Raw genomic sequence first — 22,569 nt, 5'->3', positions numbered from 1 at the left:
CACCTGAGGTCAGGAGTTAGAGACCAGCCTGGCCAACATGGTGAAACCCCGTCTCTACTAAAAACACAAAAAAACTAGCCGGGTGTGGTGGTGGGTGCCTGTAATCCCAGTTACTCAGGAGGCTGAGGCAGGAGAATCACTTGAACCCGGGAGGCGGAGGTTATTGCAGTGAGCTGACATCACACCATTGCACTCCAGCCTGGGTGACAAGTAAAACAAGTCTCAAAAAAAAAAAGTTGGGGCTCCTTCTGCAGCAAAAGGGGCTTAAGCAAAGGGGCCGCCAAGACTTTCTGCCTTCCAGGTTGTGCCACCAAGCCGTAAGTCCTGTAGGGGAGCCCCCAGTCCATGGCACCTGCATGAGGATCTGGACGCCTCTGCGGAGGTCCTCGGCAATGACATCCGAGTAGAAGGCCTTGATCTTCCTCTTGTTCAGCCACTTGGTGTGCCCGTTGGCGATGAGCTGGAGCTCAGGCATCCTCTGCTTGTGGGGTCCCTGTGGGTGGGAGGGGCAGGGGACATCACCAGCTGCCTTCACCCTCCAGCCTGAGATTCAACCCCTCTCCTGCCCTGGAGGCTGCCCCAGGGGCTTGGCAGCACCCACGGTGCCCTTTTCTTTTGCCCAGATAAGGGAAAACACAAGGAGTGGGGGAGAAAGTGGGGAGGAAGGGAGAGGGAGGGGGCAGAAAAGAGGCAGGGCAGCTGGGGGAGAAGCCAGCAAGAGGGGCCAGGAAGGGGAGAGAATGGGGTCCATGGGGGGTGCCTGGCTGGGTGCCCCTTGCTCCGCATCCCCTCGGCCCCCACTCTGTGGGTGGACATCACACCCAGGCGACTCCCCCAGGAGCTGTGTTGGCCAGGCTGGTCTCAAACTCCTGACCTCGGGTGATCCACCTGTCTTGGCTCCCCAGAGTGCTGGGTTTACAGGCATGAGCCACCATGCCTGGTCCCCTGTGCCCCTCCAGGGGCCACTCACGATGAGCACGTGGCCACAGATCATCAGGCTGAGGTTCCGGGTGAAGGTGCCCACAAAGTCCACCAGGGCCGGGCGGAAGTTGGGGGGCCCCGTGAGCACCAGGCACTGGGGGCTGAGGAGGGAAGGGAAAAGGGCAGGAGCCATCAGGAGAGAGCCCACGGGGGTCTGGGTGCGAAAGGCACCTCCCAGGCTCCCTGAATGGTGGTGTGGCCACCAGCATGACCCTACATGCTTGGGGCCTCGGCTTCCCACCTATAAATCCAGGGTGACTTTTGGGGCTCTTCCTGCTCTTTTGGTGACCTCCACACTAGTCTCCCTGGTCCTTCCTGCTCAGGCCACAAAATGCTACCCCCCATGCATGTCCCCTGCCCTGCCTAGCCCAGCATGGTGGGGGAAAGAACAAAGCCTGGGAGTGAGGAAACCTGTCACTTACAAACTCATCAGTTACCCGGGAAGGTGACTCAGCCTCTGCGTCGAGAGGTAGCAGAGGGCAGTGGTCAAGGGCCATGACCTGAGTCAACTGGAGCCAGACTTAATCGGCCACTTGCCAGCTGTGTGACCTGGGGCCAGTTACTTAACCTCTCTGTGCCTCAGTGTTCTTGGGACTGGGTTAGTAATTTCCTGGACCTCAGCCGGTTCTTGTAAGGCTGTGTAAGGCACTTTGCAAGCACCTGGCTCATAGTAAGCATGACATAAATAGATATTGCCAATAATTATTAGGATCTGGTGGGAAGAGGATGGCAGGTGCATAAACCTCCTCTACAAAGAGGGGAATGAGCTTTGAAGGGTACCCAGGGGAGGTTCGTCACCATTGGCTCCGGCGATACTGTGATGGGAGCTGCAGCAACAATCACCTCAACACCAAAGCACGTTTCCACTGTGGAAACCAAGGCATGGAGAGGCCCCTTGACTTGCTTGGTCCCCATCAGGATATGTCCACCCCTGTCTTGTGGTGGCTGGGTGGCTCCTCCATGTCTGTTCCCTCTCTGAGTGGAGGCTGCACATACCCTGGGTCTGCCTGGGTCAGGTGACAGGTCTAGGCTTGGAAACTCCCAGGGTGGAGCCATCACTGGCCCTGGGGTCCCAGGTGGGTCCCAGCAGCTCTGCTCACCGGTAGTTCTTGATGTGGTCTTCCACCTCATTGAGGCCCACCGAGTAGCTGAGGGCCAGGTTGTAGGAGCCAGCCTGTACCGAGGAGCCCCAATTTACCTCTGGGAGAGCAAGGGAGCAACGGGGGTGAGAGCAGAGTTAGGAATCACTAGAGGAAACCAGACACGTGGAGGGACAGAGGTAATGTCGGCCTTCTCTAGGCACCGGGCACCCGTGGGAGCAGGGCCACCTGGGATGGGCAGCCTGCAAGGTGGAGGCCTGCGGACTGTGTGGCTGCACGTTGAAAAGTTACACATCAAGGCCAGGCACGGTGGCTCACACCTGTAATCCTAGCACTTTGGGAGGCCGAGGCAGGCGAATCACCTGAGGTCAGGAGTTCAAGACCAGCCTGGCCGACATGGTGAAACCCTGTCTCTACTAAAAATACAAAAGTTAGCCAGGTATGGTAGCATGCACCTGTAATCCCAGCTACTCGGGAGGCTGAGGCAGGAGAATTGCTTGAACCCGGGAGGTGGAGGTTGCAGTGAGCCGAGGTTGTGCTGCTGCACTCCAGCCTGGGTGACAGAATGAGACACTGCACCCCAGTCCCCCCACAAAAAAGTTACACCTCAAGCTCCACACGATATCCTCCTGCCTTGCCAAACCTTTGCAATGGCCTAGAAGCCCAGGTTGACACTTAGAATCCCAGGCTTTCTTAGAGTCCTGTTTCCTGCCCTCAGGTCGCTGCCACCCCAGGGTCCCTGCCTGCAGCCAAGTAGAGACCTTGCCCGGAGTCCAAGCTTTGTCTGCCTGCCATCCACACAACCAGCCCTCAGCCACCTCTGAGGCCTAGGTGTGCACAGCAGCCTGCTGGCCCCTCTTGGGGGACAGCCCTAGGGAAGAGGCTGAAGCAGGCCCTGGAAGCTCACTCAGGGTCCTTCGGACAGGGGATTCCAGGGTCCTGGGTGCCCAGGGGTGGCTTAGAGGTCGAGACATAGGCCCTGAGTGGGGACATCCCCTGGGGTTTCTTGCCACATTGGGAGGGATAAAGGGGAGGGGCAGAGAGGGGCCCTGGACAGCACAGAGCCGGACTCAGGGCCCTCCAACTGGGGCGGAGGGCAGGGCCGCCTGCATGGCTACCCTGGGGGAGGAGGGCCGAGGCCCCGCAGCTGAGATGCGCACCTGGCTTCTTGTAGATGACATAGAGCAGGAGGAAGAGCACCACGCCAATGGCGATGAGGGCCGCCCACCAGGTGAGGAGGAACATGATGACCACGGAGATGATAGCCCCAAACAGCGCCGCCCACTTGTTGTAGTATTGGAATGAAGGTCTCCACCCTGGGCCAAGGGCACCAGTCAGTGGGCATGCCTGGCAGTCGAGCCTCTTTCTAGGCCAGAGCTGCTGGGCAGGGCCTGGCAGTAATGCCAGCAGTGCCCAGAGCCGGGGTCCCAGCCTGTACCCACCAGCCATGAGCACCACCCACCCTGCCTCCTGGGCTGGGTCTACAGGCTCTGGGGCAAATCACACGCCTGCTTTGGCTGGCATTTCACCAGGAGCATCCAGCTCTGGCCAAATACAGCCACAGGACATCCCATGTCAGCAACAGCACCAGCTCCCATGGTGCCAAGGGGGTGAGATGGAGGGGGAAGGACATGATTCTGCCTGGCTCCCCACCAGCAGGTCAGGCCAGGGCTGCCACTAGTGACAGCTGCCTCATGGTGCAACTCCAGGGCCATCATACACATTGGGATCTATGTAAAAGGTGGCCTAGTAAAAGACAATGGCAATTTGGAGCTGGTTAGAAAAAGTCTTCCTCAGCCAGGCACAACTGTAATCCCAGCACTTTGGGAGGCTGAGGCGGGCGGATCATGAGGTCAGGAGATCGAGACCATCCTGGCTAACATGCTGAAACCCCGTCTCTACTAAAAATACAAAAAATTAGCTGGGCGTGGTGGTGGGCGCCTGTAATCCCAGCTACTGGGGAGGCTGAGGTGGGAGAATGGCATGAACCCGGGAGGTGGAGCTTGCAGTGAGCCGAGATCGTGCAACTGCTCTCCAGCCTGGACAACAGAGCCAGACTCCGTCTCAAAAAAAAAAAAAAAAAAAGAAAGAAAAAGTCTTCCTCAAGCCTCTTTATTGCCATCTGCCAGAAGTTTTCCATCATAAACATGCAAATATATGAAATCTATGATATGAATGGTGCCTCCTAGAGTTATGCAGTGTGCAACCTGCAGCACTGTCTGTGACAGCCCTAGCTGTGACTTTGGGCAATTCTCTTTCTCTGAAGAACCAGGCTCCTGATTCCTGTAAAACTGGGGAAGGAAAAGACTGGAAAACCCCTACAGATGGTAAGCAATGTATGAATCCATGTAAAGTGCACACTGTCAGTGCGCGAGAAAGGAGAGCCGCTATTATTATTATCATTATTATTATTACTATTATTTGAGACAGAGTCTTGCTCTGTCACCCAGGCTGGAGTGCAATGGCGCGATCTCTGCTCACTGTAACCTCCCCTTTCCCAGTTCAAGTGATTCTCCTGCCTCAGCCTCCCGAATAGCTTGGATTACAGGTGACCGCTACCACATCTGGCTAATTTTTGTGTTTTTGTAGAGACAGGGTTTCACCATGTTGGCCAGGCTGGTCACAAACTCCTGACCTCAAGTGATCCGCCCACCTCCGCCTCCCAAAAATGCTAGGATTACAGGCATGAGCCACCGAGCCCAGCCGAGAGCTGCTATTATTATATTAATGTTCCCTTTCAATGGTTTTAAATTGAGAGGTGACCTTGGGCTGCCAACCTCCACCCATGCCTCCCACTCCCACCCCATGCCCCAGTTCCTCCTGCCCCCTGGGTGCCTCCTCCTGAGGTGGGTGAAGGGTTTGCTTACCAGGCGAGTTGGTGATGGAGGCGTGGAAGCAGCTGAAGTTGATGAGGGCATAGGAGCAGAGGAAGAAGTTGGAAATGATGGGGGCTATGGTGTTGAGCTCAGCTTCGGGGACCCAGGGAGAGAGAGGACAGCCTGTTGGGCAACTCTGCCAAGGACTGGCTTGGCACCCTCCTTCCCAGGGTGGGGGACCCCAGACAGGCCACCAAGGCTCAGTCAGTCTCAACCTTCTCATCTGTGAAATGGGTCCACCTCATCTGTGAGATGGGTCCATCCTTTTGTGAAGCTCAAAGGGATGGTGTCTTGTAAACTGTAAGCGCCCAGCTTTTAAGACAGTGGGGGTCAGTGTGAGAGTAGACCCCATCAGGCTATGGGATGACCAAGGGTAGTGGCTGTCACACTGTTTTGACCACAAATGACAGCAAGAAATACTTTTCTTTTTTTTTTTTTTTGAGACGGACTCTCGCTCTGTCACCCAGGCTGGAGTGCAGTGGCGTGATCTCGGCTCACTGCAACCTCTGCTTCCTGGGCTCAAGCGATTCTCCTGCCTCAGCCTCCCTAGTAGCTTGGATTACAGGCATGCACCACCACGCCCAGCTAATTTTTGTATTTTTAGTAGAAACAGGGTTTCACCATGTTGGCCAGGCTGGTCTCGAACTCCTGACCTCAAATGATCCACCTGCCTCGGCCTCCTAAAGTGCTGGGATTACAGGCATGAGCCATTGTGCCTGGCCAGAAATACATTTTGCAATGTGGCCCAGGACACCTAAGACCGTAACACAGCTCCACCCCACTGGTACCCCAGTGGTAACCCACCCAAGAACTGCTTCCTCTTCCCTGTCTCCCTGTTCCCCTCCCCTGCTACTGCCCCCAGCACCCCAGATAAACTTTTACATATTAATCCTTGTCTCGGGGCCTGCTTCTGGGGATCCCAAAACACGACGTGCACCAATGTGCCAGGTCCTCTGTCCATGATTTCATGTAATCACCTAAGAACCCTGCCCGGAGCATCTGAGATCATGGTCCTCAGTCTGAAGTCAAGTCAGACCCCCCCCCAGATGAAAGGACATCGAATCTGCATCAGGGTACATTGCAGGGAAATGTGTTTCTGGGCCCCGGTGAGCAGGAAGCAGAGACGGGGCCGGGGAACATCAAGTCTGACCAGACTTTTCCATCCCTGCCACCTCTTCATGTGGTCCAGGACCCAGTAGTGCCTGGTGTCTGAAAAGCTTACCTTGGGTAATAGTGACTAGGCTATCAGGGCAAATCTCATGGACTGTGATACCAGCCTGAACGGCATGGATTCACTGTTGGCAGGAGGGTGCCCATGAGCCCAGGGAGGCTGGCCAGTAGTCTACCCCCATCCCACTCCTGCATAGGGAGCAGGGGCCAGGGGACATCATGTTGCAGCATGGCCACTGCCCGTGCTTGGTGTGGCCACCTCTCTCCTCGCGAGTTCTGCCTCCATGGCTAAGTAAATTAGGCAAGTATTGGGCATGTGCACATGTGAGTATGTGTGCACATATGAGTGTGTGTGCATATATGAATGCATGTAGGTCTTCCTGCACAGGTGGTCTCTTCCTGCCCATCTGAGACACACCTGTTAGGCACTATTGCTCCCATTCTGCAGATGAGAAAAATGAGGCTCAGAGAGGTGAAGTACCTTGTCTAAGGTCACACAGCTGGCACATGGCAAAGCCTGGATAGGAAGTTGATCTAATGAACCGATTACCTGGGCTCTTTTCTCTTAAGACATCTACCACCTTGAAGCCCAAGGAGTCTAGAAGCCCTAGGCCCTTGGAACTAGGTTTGTCTAGTTTATATACCTATGAGGATACTGACCAGCCATTGGTATCCCATCCCAAGGAGAGACCAGTCAGCTTGTCCCATGCTCCAAAGGTGTTCTGGGGTTCATTTAGGCCTGGGGAGGGGGATGCTAGCTGCCAGGACATGTGAACGCAGACCGGGGGAACAGGTAAGTTCTCTTCTAACAAAGCAGAAGGCTCTGCTGCCTGACATGGTTTGGGAGCCACCCTGCCTGGAGGTGGGAAGGGGAAGGATCACATGGCCCCCCGATGTCTCCTCCCAGGTGGGGTCTCACCCCTCAAGACTTAGCCTCTTAGTGCCCACTAACTGTCAGGCCCGGCGGGGAGATGAGGAGACAGGAGAAGAGCCCGGCCCCCAAGACCCTCATGGCCGGCCAGGGGAACAGGAGGCCAGGCCCTGTGAGCCCTGGCAGAGCCTTACCGATGATGATGAAGGCCACAGCGATGGCGTAGGCCAGCAGGTAGCCACGCACGGGCTCCTTGTTCTTGCCATAGCCTTTGCCGAAGAAGCCGATCAGTGGGTACAGCTGGTCCTCGCAAAGGCACTGCAGCACCAGATGCCGCACTCACCCTTAGGCTGGGACCTGCCACTTCCCCTCCCCTGGGGCCACCTGAGCTCCAGCCCCGGCTCGGTGCCCTCCGTGACCTCCCCAACCTGGGTCCTGGTGTCTGTTTCTATTAAACAGGGATGCTCACCCCCTCCACCCTCCCCGCCCTACCATAAAGACAGTAAAAGAGCATGACTGGGGGATGGATGGCTTCGGGTAGAGCTTGAATGGTGGAGTTGCGGACAGGATGCTGGTGGCACAGGTGGGAGTTTGGGGTGGGGACTGCAGGTGTTTGTCAAGTCGGAGGGGGCTGCTTCCTTCAAGAGTTTGCTGATAGCTCCTTTTCCCTTCTGGCTAGAGACCCCAGTCTAATGACACCTTCAGGTGTTTGTAGCAGTCACCCAGGGACCCGCCCTATTGTGCCTCTAGCCCAGGCTCCCCACCCCCTGTCATCTCGACCCCTTTCTGCGGCCTCACCTGGAAGACTTTGGCAGCAGAGACAAGGCAGGCCAGGGCAGAGGAGAGGGTGGCCCCGAAGATGCCAGCCGTGATCAGGGGCGCGAAGCCTGACACCATGCTCATGGTCTGTGGGGATTTGGGGCTCAGGGACTCCACGGTGGGGGCTGAGCCAGGAGCCCCCATCTGTGGCACTTCATTCCCTACTGCGGGCAGGGGCTGGGTCCTGAGCCTCCACCTGAGTCCACAACCCACCCCTGGAGATCCCAGTGTCCACCCACAAGTCGGGACTGGACAGACCTGGGCTCTGAACCCCTCTCTCCTAAGCCTAGGCCTCAACCCCCAAAACTATGTCCCCCCAACAAACTTCCAGGCCTGCAAGGGGCCCTGCAGCCTCCACCCAGCCCCCACTGTGTCTGGTGGGTCAGCTCTCCTGGCAGTACCTGGTAATAGTTGATGAGGCCGTAGTGGCAGCTGTGCTGCTGGGTGCACTCGGTGAAGTTCCAGCCATAGCTGCAGGCCAGCCCCTCGCAGGCACCCCAGCCAGGGGTCACTGTGTCATTCAGGACCCCAGAGGCATCACGCACCACGCAGGAGCCTGAGAGGAGGAAGGAGAGCATGGGGAGGTCTGCCTTCCCTCCTTACTCTGTCCTCTTCCAGCCCCACCTCTGCAGAGGGCGAGGTGCTGCAGATGATGGGCAGCTGTCCCTTCATTATGCAATGATAATGATGACAATGAAGGTGTGCCCGGAGCCATGATAAGTACTTTACAATAACCTACGAGCAGGCATTACTATTATTTTTGTTGTCGTTGCCATTTTACAGAGGCGCAGAGAGCTTGAGTGACCAAGATCACAATGTCCTCCTTAGATCGGAGACCTGGATCTCAAGCCTCGAGTGGCTGTGAGCTGGACCAAGTCCCTTGGCCATTTGTGAACAGCTTGCCTCAAACGGGGCCACTGGGAGGAAGTACATCTGTGAGGATCTCAGTTCAAGGCAGGTGTTAACAGCCCAGACCTGGGCTCAAAGCCTGGCTCCACCATTCAGTGGCTGTGTGACCCTGGGCAGGTCACTTAACGTCTCTGAGCCCCCATTTTCTCCTTGGTGAAATAGGGAAAATGACAATGATAGGACTGGCATGCAAAGGGCGGGGCACATGGGAAGTCAGTTACTGGTATCATTATCATCATCATCATCATCATCATCACTCCTAGATTTGTCCTGTAGGATCTTCACACTCATGAATCTGGGCCTTCAAGGGACCCAAGGAGCCTGGTCTGACCCCACCACGCCCACTGCCATGAAGATGCTCTGATCATTGCCAAGATACCCCAGAGATAGGTTCAAGGCTTCACATCCTAAGGTCGCCACACCCTCCCAGCCCAGCTCTCCCTGTTGTTAGAGAGTCGAACCCCACCCTCTGATCCCCTCCAGTGGTCAGGGTTTTGGGACACTGCAGGGTGGAGGCCAGGTCCCTCCCCCTCCTGACTGGCTGGGCCGGCCACTTACCAATGGTGGCTGAGATGGCCAGGTAGGAAATGGTCGTCCAGAAAATGGCCATGAGGGTCCCCTTGGGGATGGCTATAGCAGGGTCCTGAAGGAGGGAGGGAGAGAGGGAGGGAGGGAGGGAGGGAGAGAGGGAGGGAGGGACGGAGGACATTAGGCAGCCCCTGGGCCTCCTTCCAGGCCTGTCCTCCTTGTCTAAGGCTGAGGCTGGGGGCAGCAACCTCTGACCTTGGCCCCTCAGAGCCCCTGTTCCAGCACAGAGAGGAAGGAGCCTCATGACTGAGGACCCCCAGAGAGGGATGAATACAACCAAGATCACGGGTCGGAGACTCCACCCAAGGCCCTGGGAAATGGAGGCAGAGAGAAGAAATTCAACAGCTCCACGCCTGCGCCACAGAGGCCACTTGGCCAGGGTTTGCTGTGAGGGTGGTAAGGGTGGGGGCAGGGTGGTGGGCTCTGGAGTCGGCCTGCCCGGGTTCACTTCCAGGCGGCCAGCTGGGCAGGGGGCTGTGCTCTCACACCCCGGCCCCTCATCTGTCAGGGATGTTGGTGAAATAAATTAATCCACATTGACATCCTAGACCAGGACTCCCCTCCCCGCCAGCCCTCACAGCGTGTTCAATCATTATGCACCAATTGATTTGTCTGGTTCCTCAACCATAAATAGGATACACCCCAAATTTTCTCCTTCCGTTCTAAGAAATAAATATCTGCTCATATTTTCTTGCTTTTTTAAAATTATTTTTTATTTTTATTTTATTTTTTTTTTGAGACAGAGTCTTGCTCTGTCACCCAGGTTGGAGTGCAGTGGCATGATCTCGGCTCACTGCAACCTCCACCTTCTGGGTTCAAGCAATTCTCCTGCCTTAGCCTCCCAAGTAGCTGGGACTACAGGCATGTACCACCACTATAGGCGCCCTAATTTTTGTATTTTTAGTAGAGACGGGGTTTCACCATGATAGCCAGGCTGGTCTTGAACTCCTGACCTCAAGTGATCCACCCACCTCAGCCTCCCAAAGTGCTGGGATTACAGGCGTGAGCCCCCGCGCCCGGCCGCTCGTATTTTCTTAACAGTGATCACAAGCCTTCACGAACACAGCATGTGTTCCACTCTTCTAGGCACTTTCTCAAATGTAATTTCCTGAGAAGTGGCCTGGGCACCCCTGCTCAGCTGGTGGGGAAACTGAGGGCAGAGAGCTGCGAGGAGGACACAGCTCTGGGCCTGACCACACCAAAGTCAACAGCCTCGGGCTCCAAGGACTGATCCTGGGTGCAGCAACACAGGCTGGGATTTTTACAGTAAGTTCAAGACCTGCTCACTTTCCAGACACAGACCCCAACCTGAAGGCAAAGGCCAGGCCTGCCATGGGAAGTCAATTTATAAACCCCCCCAGCCTTCCCTGGGCTGTTCTGCTCACCATCCAGTTAGCAGATGGCACCGCAGATTAGGAGCAAGTCAAGTGTGTTGGGGGGCTACCAGGAGGAGGTGGGAGGGAGGATGTGGCAGGCCTGGGGAAAATGGGAACAGAGGTGTAGAGCTGGAGTCTCTAGAGCCCAGGTCTGCTGGGACCTCCAAGCCTTGGCCAAGTGCCCTCTGTGGCCCAGACGTGGAGCTGTTGAATTTCTTCTCCCTGCCTCGGTCTCCCAGGGCTTTGGGTGGAGTCTCCACCCCAGGGCTCTGCAGGGCCCCTGCAGGCATGGACCTGCCAGCCCTGCCCGGCAAACCTGTTTGACTCAACTGGGCCATGCACATGGGGTCCCCAGCCCCAAAGCCAACAGAACACACCAGCCTCCCACCCTGCCTCTAGTGGATTGAATAGCGTCCCCCAAAATTCACATCCACCCAGAACCTCAGAATGTGGCCTTATTTGGAAACAGGGTCTTTGCAGGTGCAGTTAGTAAAGATGAGGTCATACCGGATTAGGGTGGGCCCCAAATGCAATGACTGGTGTCCTTACAAGGAAAGGACCCACAGATGAAAGAAGGCCACGTGAGACAGAGACAGAGATTGGAGTGATGCAGTTGCCAGCCAAGAAAAAGCCACTGTCAGCAGCCACCAGAAATTAGGAAGAGGCAAGGCAGGATTCTCCCCTGGGTTTTCAGGGGGAGCTTGGTCCTGCTGACACCTGGATCCCGGACTTTTAGCCTCCTGAACGGGGAGGGAATATAGGTCTGTTTTTAAGCCACCCAATTTGTGGTGAAAACACAAATACACCAGCCATCAGCCCCCATCCTGCCTCCTGCATCTAGAGCTGAGATCTCAGCCTCTGGATGTGCTGGGAAGAGGCAAGCAGAGAAGAGGTGAGCTGGGTAGAGGTGGGCTGAGATGTGGACCTGGATGTGCCTAACTCTGAGATTGTTGCCCGGGGATTTAACAACGTTAGGCACATCCAGGTCCACATCTCAGCCCACCTCTTCCCTGCTGTGTGCACTGGGAGAAGCCCCTTAACATCCCTGAGCCTCAGTTTCCCCATCTGTGAAATCAGAAAATAACTTGGCAGGTGACAAGTGCCCATAAATGTGAGCTGTTGGGGTGGGGGCAGGATTGTGCACAGGGGCATGCCCTGAGGCAGCACAAAACGTATTTGTTAGATGATGAAATTGTGATGTAGTTGAGGCCTCTCTGTTTTAGAAACTGGCATTCCGGCTCCTCTGCCACCTGTGTAGTCCTGGGCAGGCCCCCGAACCTCTCTGACCTTGGCTTGCTTGTCTATATCATGGTAAAAATGACAATGATAACAAGAAGCCCTTAGCTCCTGCTCTGAGCCAGGCACTATTCTAAGCACTTTACATGAATTAGCACATGGAATCCTCCCCACCGCCCTGCAAGATGGGGGCTGTACTCGTCCCATTTTAGAATTGGGGAAGCTGAGGCCCAGGGAGTTTTAAAGGGACTTGCCCAAAATGTCACAGTGAGGGCTCCACAAACAGTGGCTCTGCTGCTGAGGATGCTGTCCCACAGGATGGGTGGAGGCCATCCAAGAGCCCCTTAAAGCTTGAGGGCATTTAGGACAGAGTGCAGGCGCGCGGGCCTCATCCAGCTTCAAGACAGCTGACGCCTGCTGGTTGGTAACCTAAAAAGCTTGATGAGGCATCGAGATAAATTCCCAGGCAACGATCTAATGAGACTGCATGGAATCCAGGCTGTCTGAGCACAGGCCCAACCTCTGCGGGACCTCAGGGCAGGCAGACCAGGCCTCTGCTGGCCATTCCCCAGAAAAAGGAGAGGAGCCAAACCAACGGCTGTTCTCCAATTTCCAGGCCCTGCCCAACACCACCTGGTGCATAGCTGCTTAAAGCCACGCTGGCTTCACAGTCGACTCCATGTGCATTCCTTTTTTTTGCGGGGGGGTGAGGTTTGAGATGGAGTTCCGCTCTGTCACCCAGGCTGGAGTGTAGTGGCGCCATCTTGGCTCACTGCAACCTCCGCCTTCCGGGTTCTAGCAATTCTCCTGCCTTAGCCTCCCGAGTAGCTGGGATTACAGGAACCCACCACCACACCCGGCTAATTTTTATGTTTTTAGTGGAGACTAAAACAGTTTCATCATGTTAGCCAGGCTGGTCTCGAACTCCCGACCTCAAGTGATCCACCTGCTCTGGCCTTCCAAAGTGCTAGGATTACAGGCATGAGCCACTGTGCCTGGCTCAATGCACAGCTCTTAATTTGCTTAAGAAAATGCATCAAGGAGCGCCTTCCAAATGAGACTGGAGGTTTGGGGTAGGGGTTAGCTGTGATTTCCAGTGTGGGGCTAGCTCCCCATTCATCACCCCCTCTTGCCTGCCACCTCCCTTGAGCAAAGGTTCTGCCAGCTTGTCACCTTTCAAAGCCCAGCTCTGGCGCCTCCTGCACCCAGAAATTCTGCTGGAACCCCTGCCAACATCAGTCTCTCCTTCTCCCTGCTGGTGCAGCACTTTGTGCTACTGCTCAAACACTGCATTTCACCATGATTCAGTCAACAAACATGTACAGAGCACCTAGTATGTGCCAGGCTCTGAGCTGGGAGGGAATAGGGAGACAGAGGCAAGTCTCCGTTCTCCAGATGCCGGGGCAACAGATACGCGTTTGGCCCAACATCATTATGCTGGGGAACCATGACTCTGATGGAAGGGCTGGGAGAGATGATAGTTGAAGGCGGTATTTGAAAGAGAAACAGGCCAGGAGAAGTGGCTCACTCCTGTAATCCCAGCACTTTGGGAAGACAAATCGGGTGGATCACTTGAGGTCAGGAGATCGAGACCAGCCTGGCCAACATGGCGAAACCCTGTCTCTACTAAAAATACAAAAATTAGTTAGGCGTGGTGGCAGGTGCCTGTAGTCTCAACTACTCTGGAGGCTGAGGCATGAGAATCACTTGAACCCGGGAGGCGGAGGTTGCAGTGAGCTGAGATCGTGCCACTGCACTCCAGCCTTCCAGCCTGGGCGACAGACCGAGACTTCATCTCAAAAAAAAAAAAATAAAATAAAATAAATAAAAGAGGCTAGGCATGGTGGCTCACCCCTATAATCCCAGCACTTTGGGAGGCCCAGGCGAATGGATCACCTGAGGTCAGGAGTTTGAGACCAGCCTGGCCAACATAGCAAAACTCCATCTCTACTAAAAAATACAAATATTAACCGGGTGCGGTGGCAGGCACCTGTAATCCCAGCTACTCAGGAGGCTGAGGCAGGAGAATCGCTTGAACCCGGGAGGCGGAGGTTGCAGTGAGCCAAGATCATGCCATTGCACTCCAGCCTGGGCAACAAGAGCAAAACTCCATCTCAAAAAAAAAAAAAAAAAAAAAAAAAAAAAGAAAGAAAGAGAAACAGAACAGACTTTCAGGGTAAAAAAGCAAGCGTACGGAGTTGCAGGTAGAGAGCGCAGCACAGGCAAAGGCGTGGAGGAGGGACGAGGTAACACGGGCAAAGCAGTAGAGCCTCAGGGCTGCAGCAGGCTCATGGGAAGGGTGGCACTGGTCAGGGATGAGGCTAGACAGGCAGGCTGGAGCCTTGAATGCCAAGCCAAGAAGCCTGCCTGCAGCAAGGCAGTGGGGAGCCCTGGGAGGATGTCAGCCCAGCAAAGATGTGCATGAGCAAGGCTGGGCTCTTAAGGTCACAGCTGGGCCAGTCTTCCCCTAAGGCTGAGAGTTCTGGGAACTAGGGAGGAACCTAGCCATTCTGTGGTGTCCCTCAAGCCTAGAACGCAGCTGGTCTTCATAAACAACCTCAGAACGGAATGGAATCGGTTGGATTGGGTTGAACTGAGCTGAGTTGGACTGGACTGGATTTTAGAAGCCCTGCCTCCCAGGTCAGCGGCAGATGCCACTAGAGCAGGGGGCAGGATTCTGCTCATAGCCCCTGTGCAGTGCCAGGACACAGGAGGGGCAAGTATTCTGCTCACCTTGAGGTCACCAGATATGTTGGCCCCTGCCAGGATGCCTGTGGCCGAGGGGAAGAAGATGGAGAACATTCCGAAGAAGGTGCCATCTGGACCCCGCCAGTCAGGCACCAAGTTCTGGACAAAAATGTCCGCTGGAAAAGCAAGGCCTGATGAGTAAGGCTCACCTGGAGGGCTTGACCCCCCTTGCTGGGACCCACTGGGCAGGCAGCCCCTGACCATGGGATTGGGTAATCCCATCCTCCCAGTGTCCACACAATGGGCCAGATTCCTGGGTAGAGAGTCCCTGTCCCCAGAGCCATGGTCAGGGCCTTGATCAGCACATACCCCGGTAGCTGAAGAAGCCTTTGGAGGCCTTGTCCTCAGATGGGGGGATCAGCGTCCCCACTAAATAGTTGGCAAAGGAGACCATGATGACAAGGAAGAACAGCACCTGGGCCTGGAGGGGGCGAAGGACCCCAGAGGTCAGATAGTTTTGTTCTACCTCTCTGGGAAGCCCCGCCAGAAAATGATTTGCCCAGGGCCCGTTTCTCCATTATTCACTCACTCATTCATTCAACACCCATTATGCAGCAGGATCTGTTCAAGGAGTTGGGAATATAGCAGTGAACAAGACCGCCAAAGCCTCTTGTCTTGGCTGATAAATAAGGAGGATGAATTTAAAGTAAGAAGAGGTTTGGGAGGCCGAGGTGGGCGGATCACCTGAGGTCAGGAGTTTGAGACCAGCCTGGCCAACATGGGGAAACTCTGTCTCTACTAAAAATACAGGCCGGAAACAGTGGCTCAAACCTGTAATCTCAGCATTTTGGGAGACCGAGGTGGGCGGATCACCTGAGGTCAGGAGTTCGAGATCAGCCTGGCCAACATGGTGAAACCCCGTCTATACTAAAAATACAAAAATTAGCCAGGCATGGTGGTGGGTGTCTGTAATCCTAGCTACTTGGGAGGCTGAGGCAGGAGAATTGCTTGAGACGAGGAGGCGGAGGTTGCAGTGAGCCGAGATCACGCCTCTGCACCCCAGCCTAGGTGACAGAACGAGACTCCATCTCAAAAATAAATAAATAAATAAATAAATAAAGAAGAGGGAGTGTGATGGGGACTGGGTGGAGCTCATTTAGCAGGATGACCTGGGAAGGTGTCACCAGAGAGAAGGTGTTTAGCAGACACCTTAAGTGGGAGAATGAACAAGCCAGAGAACTGTCCAGGGAATTCAGCTCAGGGCATCCAAGGAAGAGCAAGGAGGACACCCTCTGACAGCTGCAGGTCAGAAAATGCGGGGAGAGGACAGGCTGCAGGGGCCAGGTCCTGCCCTGCCTGTAGGGCCTGTCCGGCTGAGTCTGCCAGCAGGATCCATGATTCAGTTGAAGGCCACACCTCCCCAGGCTCCCTCGCAGCCATGTGTGACAGCGATAGTGAAACTTCCAGATGGTGCCATAAAAAGAAAGAGAAAAGGGAATTCCCTCCCTTTCATTTCCCCCTTCTTTGCTTTCCCTCTGACTGGAGGGGATGTGGGTATGGTGGACCAGGTGGACAAAGGCCACGGCGCAGGGATGGAGGGAGCACAAGATGGAAGGAGTCTGGGTGCCCGGCCCCCTGAGCCACCATGCCCACCCTGGGCCATGTGGACCTAGGTTGTCACACAAGAGATACAAAGCAGCAGGGCACAGTGGCTCACACCTGTAATCCCAGCACTTTGGGAGGCCAAGGCGGGCAGATCACTTGAGGTCAAGAGTTTGAGACCAGCCTGACCAACATGGTGAAACCCCGTCTCTACAAACAATATAAAAATTAGCCAGGTGTGGTGGCAGGTGCCTGTAATCCCAGCTACTCGGGAGGCTGAGGCAGGAGAATCTCTTGAACCTGGGAGATGGAGGTTGCAGTGAGCCGAGATGGTACCACTGCACTCCAGCATGGACATCGAGCGAGATTCTGTCTCAAAAAAAAAAAAAGAAAAGAAAAAGAAAAGGCAGAGGACCAGGGAGGGCCCAGGCCTGGCAACCCCCGCTTCTCCACGTGACCACCTCCATGTCCCCCTCCTCCATGGCCTCCTCACCTTGGACTCCCACTCCATGCCAGCCAGGGAGATGGCCAGCAGCACAGTGACCGAGACCACGGCAATGATGCGGATGTCGTTAATGGGGTCCACGATGGGTGCCCCATACTCCTGGGGAGGGAAAATGGGCCAGGCTGCAAGCCACCCTCTGAATTCCCCATCCCCCAGACTCTGCCCACCTAGGAGGCACCTCCTGTGCGGTGCACTCTGCTAGGACGATGTTAACTCAAGCACCACCCCTGCCATCGAGTCCCCAAAGCAGCTGCTGCACGGGCCTGGACAGTGTGGCTCTAAAGGCCACACACACCCCCAAAGGGGACTTGTGGGAAAGCAATGGCCTTTATTTGATGAGATTGTCACTCTCACCCACAGTGATCAGGCTGTGGTTCCTGATGGGTGAAGTCAGGCAGAGCAGCAGGAGGCCCCAGCCCAGATGGGGCGGAGGAGAGTGCAATGGGCTGCCCGGATCCCTCTACCCAGGGTCCAGCCCCCCGGCCTCACCTGGAGCAGGTCCCGCACGGTCTCTGCAAAGCCCACCGTGTGCATGGCCACACCCACGGCATTGGCGAAAGCGAAAATGAGGCCGATGGAGCCCCCAAGCTCTGGGCCCAGACTCCGGGAGATGAGGAAGTAGGTGCCACCTATCAGGGCAGAGCCGGGAACCATGAAACCAGATGAGTCGGTTGGCTGGGGTGGACTCAGGGCAGGCAGAGGCCAGGAGAGGGTGGCCACAGGACCCACGGGGCAGGAGATAGCTGAGGCCATCTCGTGGTGTAGACAGCCTGCCTAGAGCCCTCTCCCGGAACCACAGGAGCGGCTGGGTGTACCATTGGGTTGGGGAAGTTGGGAGTCCTGTTCCCAGGATTAGGAGCCCACGAGAGGAGGGCCTTGGTGGAAAGGGGGATGGCCCACCTGACTTGACCTTGCCATTGGTGGAGATGGCTGAGATGGAGAGGCCTGTGATGGAGGTCACCGTGACCGACAGCAGGATGATGATCCAGGTCAGGACTGCAGGGGGCACCCAAAGCTTAGGCAGGGCATTTCCCAAGGGAGGAGCCCCAGTTTGCCTACTCATTCACCATGCGACCTACGTTCATCTCCCTTCTCTGAGCTTCAGTTTTCTCATCTGAAAAATGGGTCTCTGTCACTTTGGGAGGCCGAGGCGGGCAGATCATAAGGTCAGGAGTTCAAGACCAGCCTGGCCAACATGGTGAAACCCCGTCTCTACTAAAAATACAAAAATTAGCCAGGCATGCTGGCACATGCCTGTAATCCCAGCTACTTAGGAGGCTGAGGCAGGAGAATCGCTTGAACCCAGGAGGCGGAGGTTGCAGTGAGCCGAGACCACGCGACTGCACTCCAGCCTGGGTGACAGAGTGAGACTTCGTCTCAAAAAAAAAATGGGTCTCTGTCTACCTCCTGTCATACTCTGAATAGCCAGTGAGCCCTTGAGCCAGCATTTATTGGATTGTTAGGTATGGAGGGGAAGCTACCCTCGTTTAATAATAAAAAATAAAGTAGCAGTTACCACTCCGTGATCACCTCTGGGAGCCAAATCTGCGCTGTGTTTTTACTTGCATCCTGTAAAAGCCACAACGGTTCCATGAGGTAGGTTCTGTTATCACCCTCATTTTCCTAATGAGGAATCCAAGGCTCAGAGAGGTTAAGAAACTTGCCCAAAGTCACATAGCAGGCTACAGAGCTAGCATCTGAGTCCTGTTCTGTCCAGAATGCAGCTTTCTTTTTTATTTTTTATTTTTTTTGAGATGGAGTTTCACACTCTGTTGCCCAGGCTGGAATGCAGTGGCGTGATCTCGGCTCACTGCAGCCTCTGCCTCCCAGGTTCAAGCAATTCTCTGACTCAGCCTCCCGAGTAGCTGGGATTACAGGCACCTGCCAACCACGCCTGGCCAATTTTTTAATATTTTTAGTAGAGACAGGGTTTCACCATGTTGGCCAGGCTGGTCTTGAACTCCTGACCTCGTGATCCACCTGCCTCGGCCTCCCAAAGTGCTGGGATTACAGCCTCCCAAAGCGTGAGCCACCGTGCCCGGCCAGAGTGCAGCTTTCTAACCTGCACGCTTTGAGGTAGAAATGGGCTCTGAGAGGTTAAGTGGCTTACTGAGGGCAAATAGCCCTTAGGCCTGCTGACCCCATGTCCAGCGTGCCTCTGCCACACCACCCTGACCCCTGTCACTGCAGGGGCCTGAGACTGAACCAGGGAGGAGAAGGCCTGGCCGTTTGGTCTCTGCACCTCAAGTTTAATCCTGCAACCTTGGGGTCTGGGAAGAACAGGATTCAGGCAAGCTGGGAAGAATGGGATTCAGGCAAGCCCTCCCTCCTCTTCCCCAGAGGGGCACTCACCGATGCCTGCCTGGGCCGTAATCCAGGGCAGCCGCAGGTAGAGGATCACGCCCCAAATGTTGAGCATGCAACGAATCTGGGAGGACAGGGGGGTCAGAGGCCACCTGGGTGGACACCCCAAGGCCAAACGACAAGTCCCTGTCCCTTGCTATGGCAGGGTATCGAGCACCTAGGCCCTAGGGACACCTGGGTCCCTTCTTCACCCACTTCAGTAGGTTCCGAGTCTGGTTCTATGGGGCAAGAGGGTGAGAGGCACCCAGAGACCCACCTATCCCTCCCACCTATTTTCCCACCCTCCCGTTGAGTCCTGACGCTAGGCTACCAGCACTGTTAGCCCTCACTGTATCCATCCCAAGCCCAGGATCCTGTGTCTGCCAGCCCCGACCATGGCCCCAGTGGTCAGCAGTTGATCCAGAGCCTGGCATTTACAGGGAGCTCAGCAAATGCCAGGTGAGCCAGCGCCCCATGTAAGAGCAGATATCAGAGCTCAGGTGGCTGTGACTTCAGCTTCCAAATTTAAAGCAAAGCCAGAGGCCGAGATGGAGGCTGAAGCTTCCAGGTGGGAGGGGCTGGTGTGGTCGCTGGCCCCACTGAGTTGCAGGGCCGTTCCCGGCTCTGGCAACACAGCCCAGGAGGGAGATCCCAGCTCTGAATAAGAGCATCTGGGGGTCGGGGAGGGCTCGTGGTTCAGATGGAGAAACGGAGGCACAGCCAGTTGGCAGCGTTAAGATCAGAACCCCAGCCTCCTGCCTCCCGGAGCAGGGCTAAAGCCTTCTACATCCCATAAGATCCCCTCTGTAAAGTCCCATAATGTCTCCAAAGCCAAGTGTCCTTGATTGTCTACTGTCTGGAAACTTAATCCTGCTCCTCACTATAGCAAACCTTTTCCTTCCCTTCATGGAGGAGAAAAACACATTTACGGATTTGTGTGTTTAGTGCAGCCCCCTGGTGGCTTTTTAGGGAAACACAGTTTCTTCTAATTACTCCCCGGCAGGCTTTAATCTATTGTCTATTGATCTATTAACTCATTGAATTCATTGTACAGATGGGGAAACTGAAGCCCCACCAGGGCCTGAGAGTCAGAGCTGAGCCTGGATGGAGCTCTGCCACCCCACCCCCATTTCTGGACATCACGCACCACCCACACCCCACTCACCATCACCCCCTTGACCCAGCCGAAGCGCACTGGCTCCTCGGGGTTCTTCTCGCTGCTGGTGCCTGCCTCGCCCTCCACCAGCCCATCAGTCATCTCGTGGCTGGGCCGGCTGTCAAAGGCCAGGGCATGCAGGTGTCTGCCTTCCTGCTGGCAGCCCAGAGACCACAAGTCAGGCAGGTAGGGGTGCTAGGGACGGCGTCTCTGCATCCAGCCCACTGACCTGCACCACTGCGCCCCATACCGAGCACCCCCCGACCCCTCAGCCCACTGGGTGTTGAGCTGCTTGAGGGGCTTTTAAAATGCTCCCTAGGCCAGGAGCAGTGGCTCACGCCTGTAGTAAAAGCACTTTGGGAGGCCAAGGTGGGTGGATTGCTTGAGCTTAGGAGTTCAAGACCAGCCTGGGCAACAAGGTAAAACCCTGTCTCTACTAAGAAATACAAAAATTAGCTGGGCATGGTGGTGTGCACCTGTGGTCCCAGCTACTCAGGAGGCTGACATAGGAGGATCTCTTGAAGCCAGGAGGTGGAGGTTGCAGTGATCCAAGATCAGATGCCATGGGAGACTGGGAGTCCTGGGCGCTCCTGCTCATAACACCTCCTCCCCCTAGGAGAGCAGTGGCCTTAGAAGTGATTAGGCAGTTGCCTAGCCTTGTAATGGGCGACAGGATTATTATCACCCTGGAGAGGTGAAAGCTTGTCCAAGGCCACATAGTTGGTCCCTGGAGGGCTGGGTCTTGAAACCAGGCCTCTACCTCTGGGGCACTGGGAGGTCTCCTAGTTTGTGCCCCAAGTGACTGACGCCCTCCTCTGGGGCTTTCTTCCTGGCACTTCATCTCAGTATGGAGCCAAGGGCCATGTCTTGGTTTGCTCTGGGGTGGAGAAAAGGCCTGCGAATTTAGTAAGTCTTAGCCTCAGAATCAAGAACAATTCTGGGCTGGGCGTGGTGGCTCATGCCTGTAATTCCAGCACGTTGGGAGGCCAAGGTGGGTGGATCCTTTGAGGTCAGGAGTTCAAGACCAGCCTGGCCAATATGGCAAAACCCCATCCCTACTAAAAATACAAAAATTAGCTGGGTGTGGTGGTGCGCTCCTGTAATCCCAGCTACTCGGGAGGCTGAGGCAGGAGAATCACTTGAACCCAGGAGGCAGAGGTTGCAGTGAGCCGAGATCACACCACTGCACTCCAGCCTGGGCGACAGAGCCAGACTCCGTCTCAAAAAAAAAAAAGAAAAGAAAAGAAAAGAAAAGAAAAAAGAACAATTCAGCCCAATTGTCATATGGGAAAAGTGAGGCCAGACAGGGGTCATGACAATCCACCTTCCAGCCCTCCACTCTTCACAGTCCAGCCTCCCGGGCAGCAAACCCGGCGAGCCCTCTCTCTGAGGTGAACCTTCCCAGGCCCTTCTTGCCCTGTCTCTTTCAGGGGTGTGCAACCTGCTTGCATGCTTCTACTCACTGGAAGCTCATTACCTCTCTAGGCCTCCCACTCTAGCTTTGGGTTGCTAGTGATTGGCTAATATACATTCCAACATGTGCCCAGATTTCTGCAGCTCCACTATTTCACTGGGGCCTCTCAACCCAGGAAGAAGACGCTCCTCCATCCCCATGGCACAGATGACAGAACTGAGGCTCAGAGAGGTTAGGTAGCTGGGTCGAGGTCACACAGCAGGGAAGTGGCCAGTCTTCTGAGACAGCACTTACCTTGAGGAAGGAGTGCAGGTCAGCCAGTGTGGGCCGGACCTTCCGGGGCTCACCAGGCTGGGTGCTGTTGGCATAGTGCTCATATGTGGGCACCACATCGATCGTGTTGTAGCCAAAGGTGCGCATGCAGAAGGTGCTGCTGTGGGTCAGGTGGCTGGGGTGGCTGCTGTCATAGGCAGCTGGTGGAGAGGGCTCATCACTGCTCAGCAGTGTGCTGATGGTGAAGCGCCCGCTGCACAAAGTGGCGTCCCCAGGCGTCTCTGTTGTGGGCAGTTCTGCCATTGTCGCCTGGGTGTCCAGGGAGGGGCCAGGATCCGCAAGGACACACAGGGTGGTTTTATAGGCTGCGTCTGCACTGGGGAGGAGGCAGGGAGGTTGGCCTAAACCGCCCGTGGCTGGTGAGCAGGGTCCCCGGACAGGGCCGGAGGCAGAACACCATTTGATTGTGGAGATAGGGGACCCGCCTTGGATCTGGAGGGCTGGGCTGGCCCAAAGCCAGCCACTCCCTGAGTCCTGGAGTGGCTCTTCTGAGTCTGGGGGCAGCAGAGATCTTCAGCCAGGACCCAAGAAGGAGTTGTCAGAGAGGACCCTGAGGGGCCCCATAAGGGATCCTAGAGATAGCCTGGTGGCTTTGTAGCAGG

General features: G+C 55.5%; 1 protein-coding gene across 4 annotated transcripts in view, besides 6 other annotated features; it reads right to left on the bottom strand.

The window, feature by feature from the left end:
* The window catches only part of SLC12A3 (solute carrier family 12 member 3), a 50,644-nt gene extending 28,405 nt beyond the window's left edge, over window positions 1-22,239 (bottom strand). For 2 of the 4 annotated variants that reach the window (NM_000339.3, NM_001126108.2), the window contains exons 1-17: window positions 21,929-22,239; window positions 20,230-20,376; window positions 19,074-19,149; window positions 17,622-17,717; window positions 17,211-17,350; window positions 16,710-16,820; window positions 14,984-15,095; window positions 14,660-14,790; window positions 9,285-9,369; window positions 8,219-8,373; window positions 7,797-7,904; window positions 7,193-7,316; window positions 4,949-5,050; window positions 3,242-3,397; window positions 2,082-2,181; window positions 971-1,082; window positions 353-493 (exon numbers count right to left, since the gene is read on the bottom strand). In NM_000339.3, coding sequence (NP_000330.3) covers window positions 353-493; window positions 971-1,082; window positions 2,082-2,181; window positions 3,242-3,397; window positions 4,949-5,050; window positions 7,193-7,316; window positions 7,797-7,904; window positions 8,219-8,373; window positions 9,285-9,369; window positions 14,660-14,790; window positions 14,984-15,095; window positions 16,710-16,820; window positions 17,211-17,350; window positions 17,622-17,717; window positions 19,074-19,149; window positions 20,230-20,376; window positions 21,929-22,210 — 2,178 coding nt within the window. In that variant the 5' untranslated portion in view covers window positions 22,211-22,239. The remainder of the gene's footprint in view (window positions 1-352; window positions 494-970; window positions 1,083-2,081; window positions 2,182-3,241; window positions 3,398-4,948; window positions 5,051-7,192; window positions 7,317-7,796; window positions 7,905-8,218; window positions 8,374-9,284; window positions 9,370-14,659; window positions 14,791-14,983; window positions 15,096-16,709; window positions 16,821-17,210; window positions 17,351-17,621; window positions 17,718-19,073; window positions 19,150-20,229; window positions 20,377-21,928) is intronic. The other 2 variants (NM_001126107.2, NM_001410896.1) reach the window with 1 other exon arrangement.
* Window positions 10,506-11,005: an enhancer, noted in NCBI's record as "H3K4me1 hESC enhancer chr16:56910353-56910852 (GRCh37/hg19 assembly coordinates)". NCBI's record gives its function as "activates a minimal SCP1, AML or CMV promoter by ChIP-STARR-seq in naive H9 embryonic stem cells {active_cell/tissue: H9 hESC(naive)}" and the evidence as "EXISTENCE:reporter gene assay evidence [ECO:0000049][PMID:30033119]".
* Window positions 11,921-12,857: an enhancer, noted in NCBI's record as "H3K27ac-H3K4me1 hESC enhancer chr16:56908501-56909437 (GRCh37/hg19 assembly coordinates)". NCBI's record gives its function as "activates a minimal SCP1, AML or CMV promoter by ChIP-STARR-seq in primed H9 embryonic stem cells {active_cell/tissue: H9 hESC(primed)}" and the evidence as "EXISTENCE:reporter gene assay evidence [ECO:0000049][PMID:30033119]".
* Window positions 15,897-16,086: an enhancer, noted in NCBI's record as "active region_10856". NCBI's record gives its function as "activates an Ori minimal core promoter by ATAC-STARR-seq in GM12878 lymphoblastoid cells {active_cell/tissue: GM12878}" and the evidence as "EXISTENCE:reporter gene assay evidence [ECO:0000049][PMID:35858748]".
* Window positions 16,307-16,356: an enhancer, noted in NCBI's record as "active region_10855". NCBI's record gives its function as "activates an Ori minimal core promoter by ATAC-STARR-seq in GM12878 lymphoblastoid cells {active_cell/tissue: GM12878}" and the evidence as "EXISTENCE:reporter gene assay evidence [ECO:0000049][PMID:35858748]".
* Window positions 19,080-19,664: an enhancer, noted in NCBI's record as "H3K27ac-H3K4me1 hESC enhancer chr16:56901694-56902278 (GRCh37/hg19 assembly coordinates)". NCBI's record gives its function as "activates a minimal SCP1, AML or CMV promoter by ChIP-STARR-seq in naive H9 embryonic stem cells {active_cell/tissue: H9 hESC(naive)}" and the evidence as "EXISTENCE:reporter gene assay evidence [ECO:0000049][PMID:30033119]".
* Window positions 19,665-20,249: an enhancer, noted in NCBI's record as "H3K4me1 hESC enhancer chr16:56901109-56901693 (GRCh37/hg19 assembly coordinates)". NCBI's record gives its function as "activates a minimal SCP1, AML or CMV promoter by ChIP-STARR-seq in naive H9 embryonic stem cells {active_cell/tissue: H9 hESC(naive)}" and the evidence as "EXISTENCE:reporter gene assay evidence [ECO:0000049][PMID:30033119]".

The sequence above is a fragment of the Homo sapiens genome, chromosome 16, assembly GCF_000001405.40.
Source record: "Homo sapiens chromosome 16, GRCh38.p14 Primary Assembly".
In the NCBI taxonomy this organism is placed as follows: Eukaryota; Metazoa; Chordata; class Mammalia; order Primates; family Hominidae; genus Homo; species Homo sapiens.
This window is presented reverse-complemented; position numbering and strand designations above follow the sequence as displayed.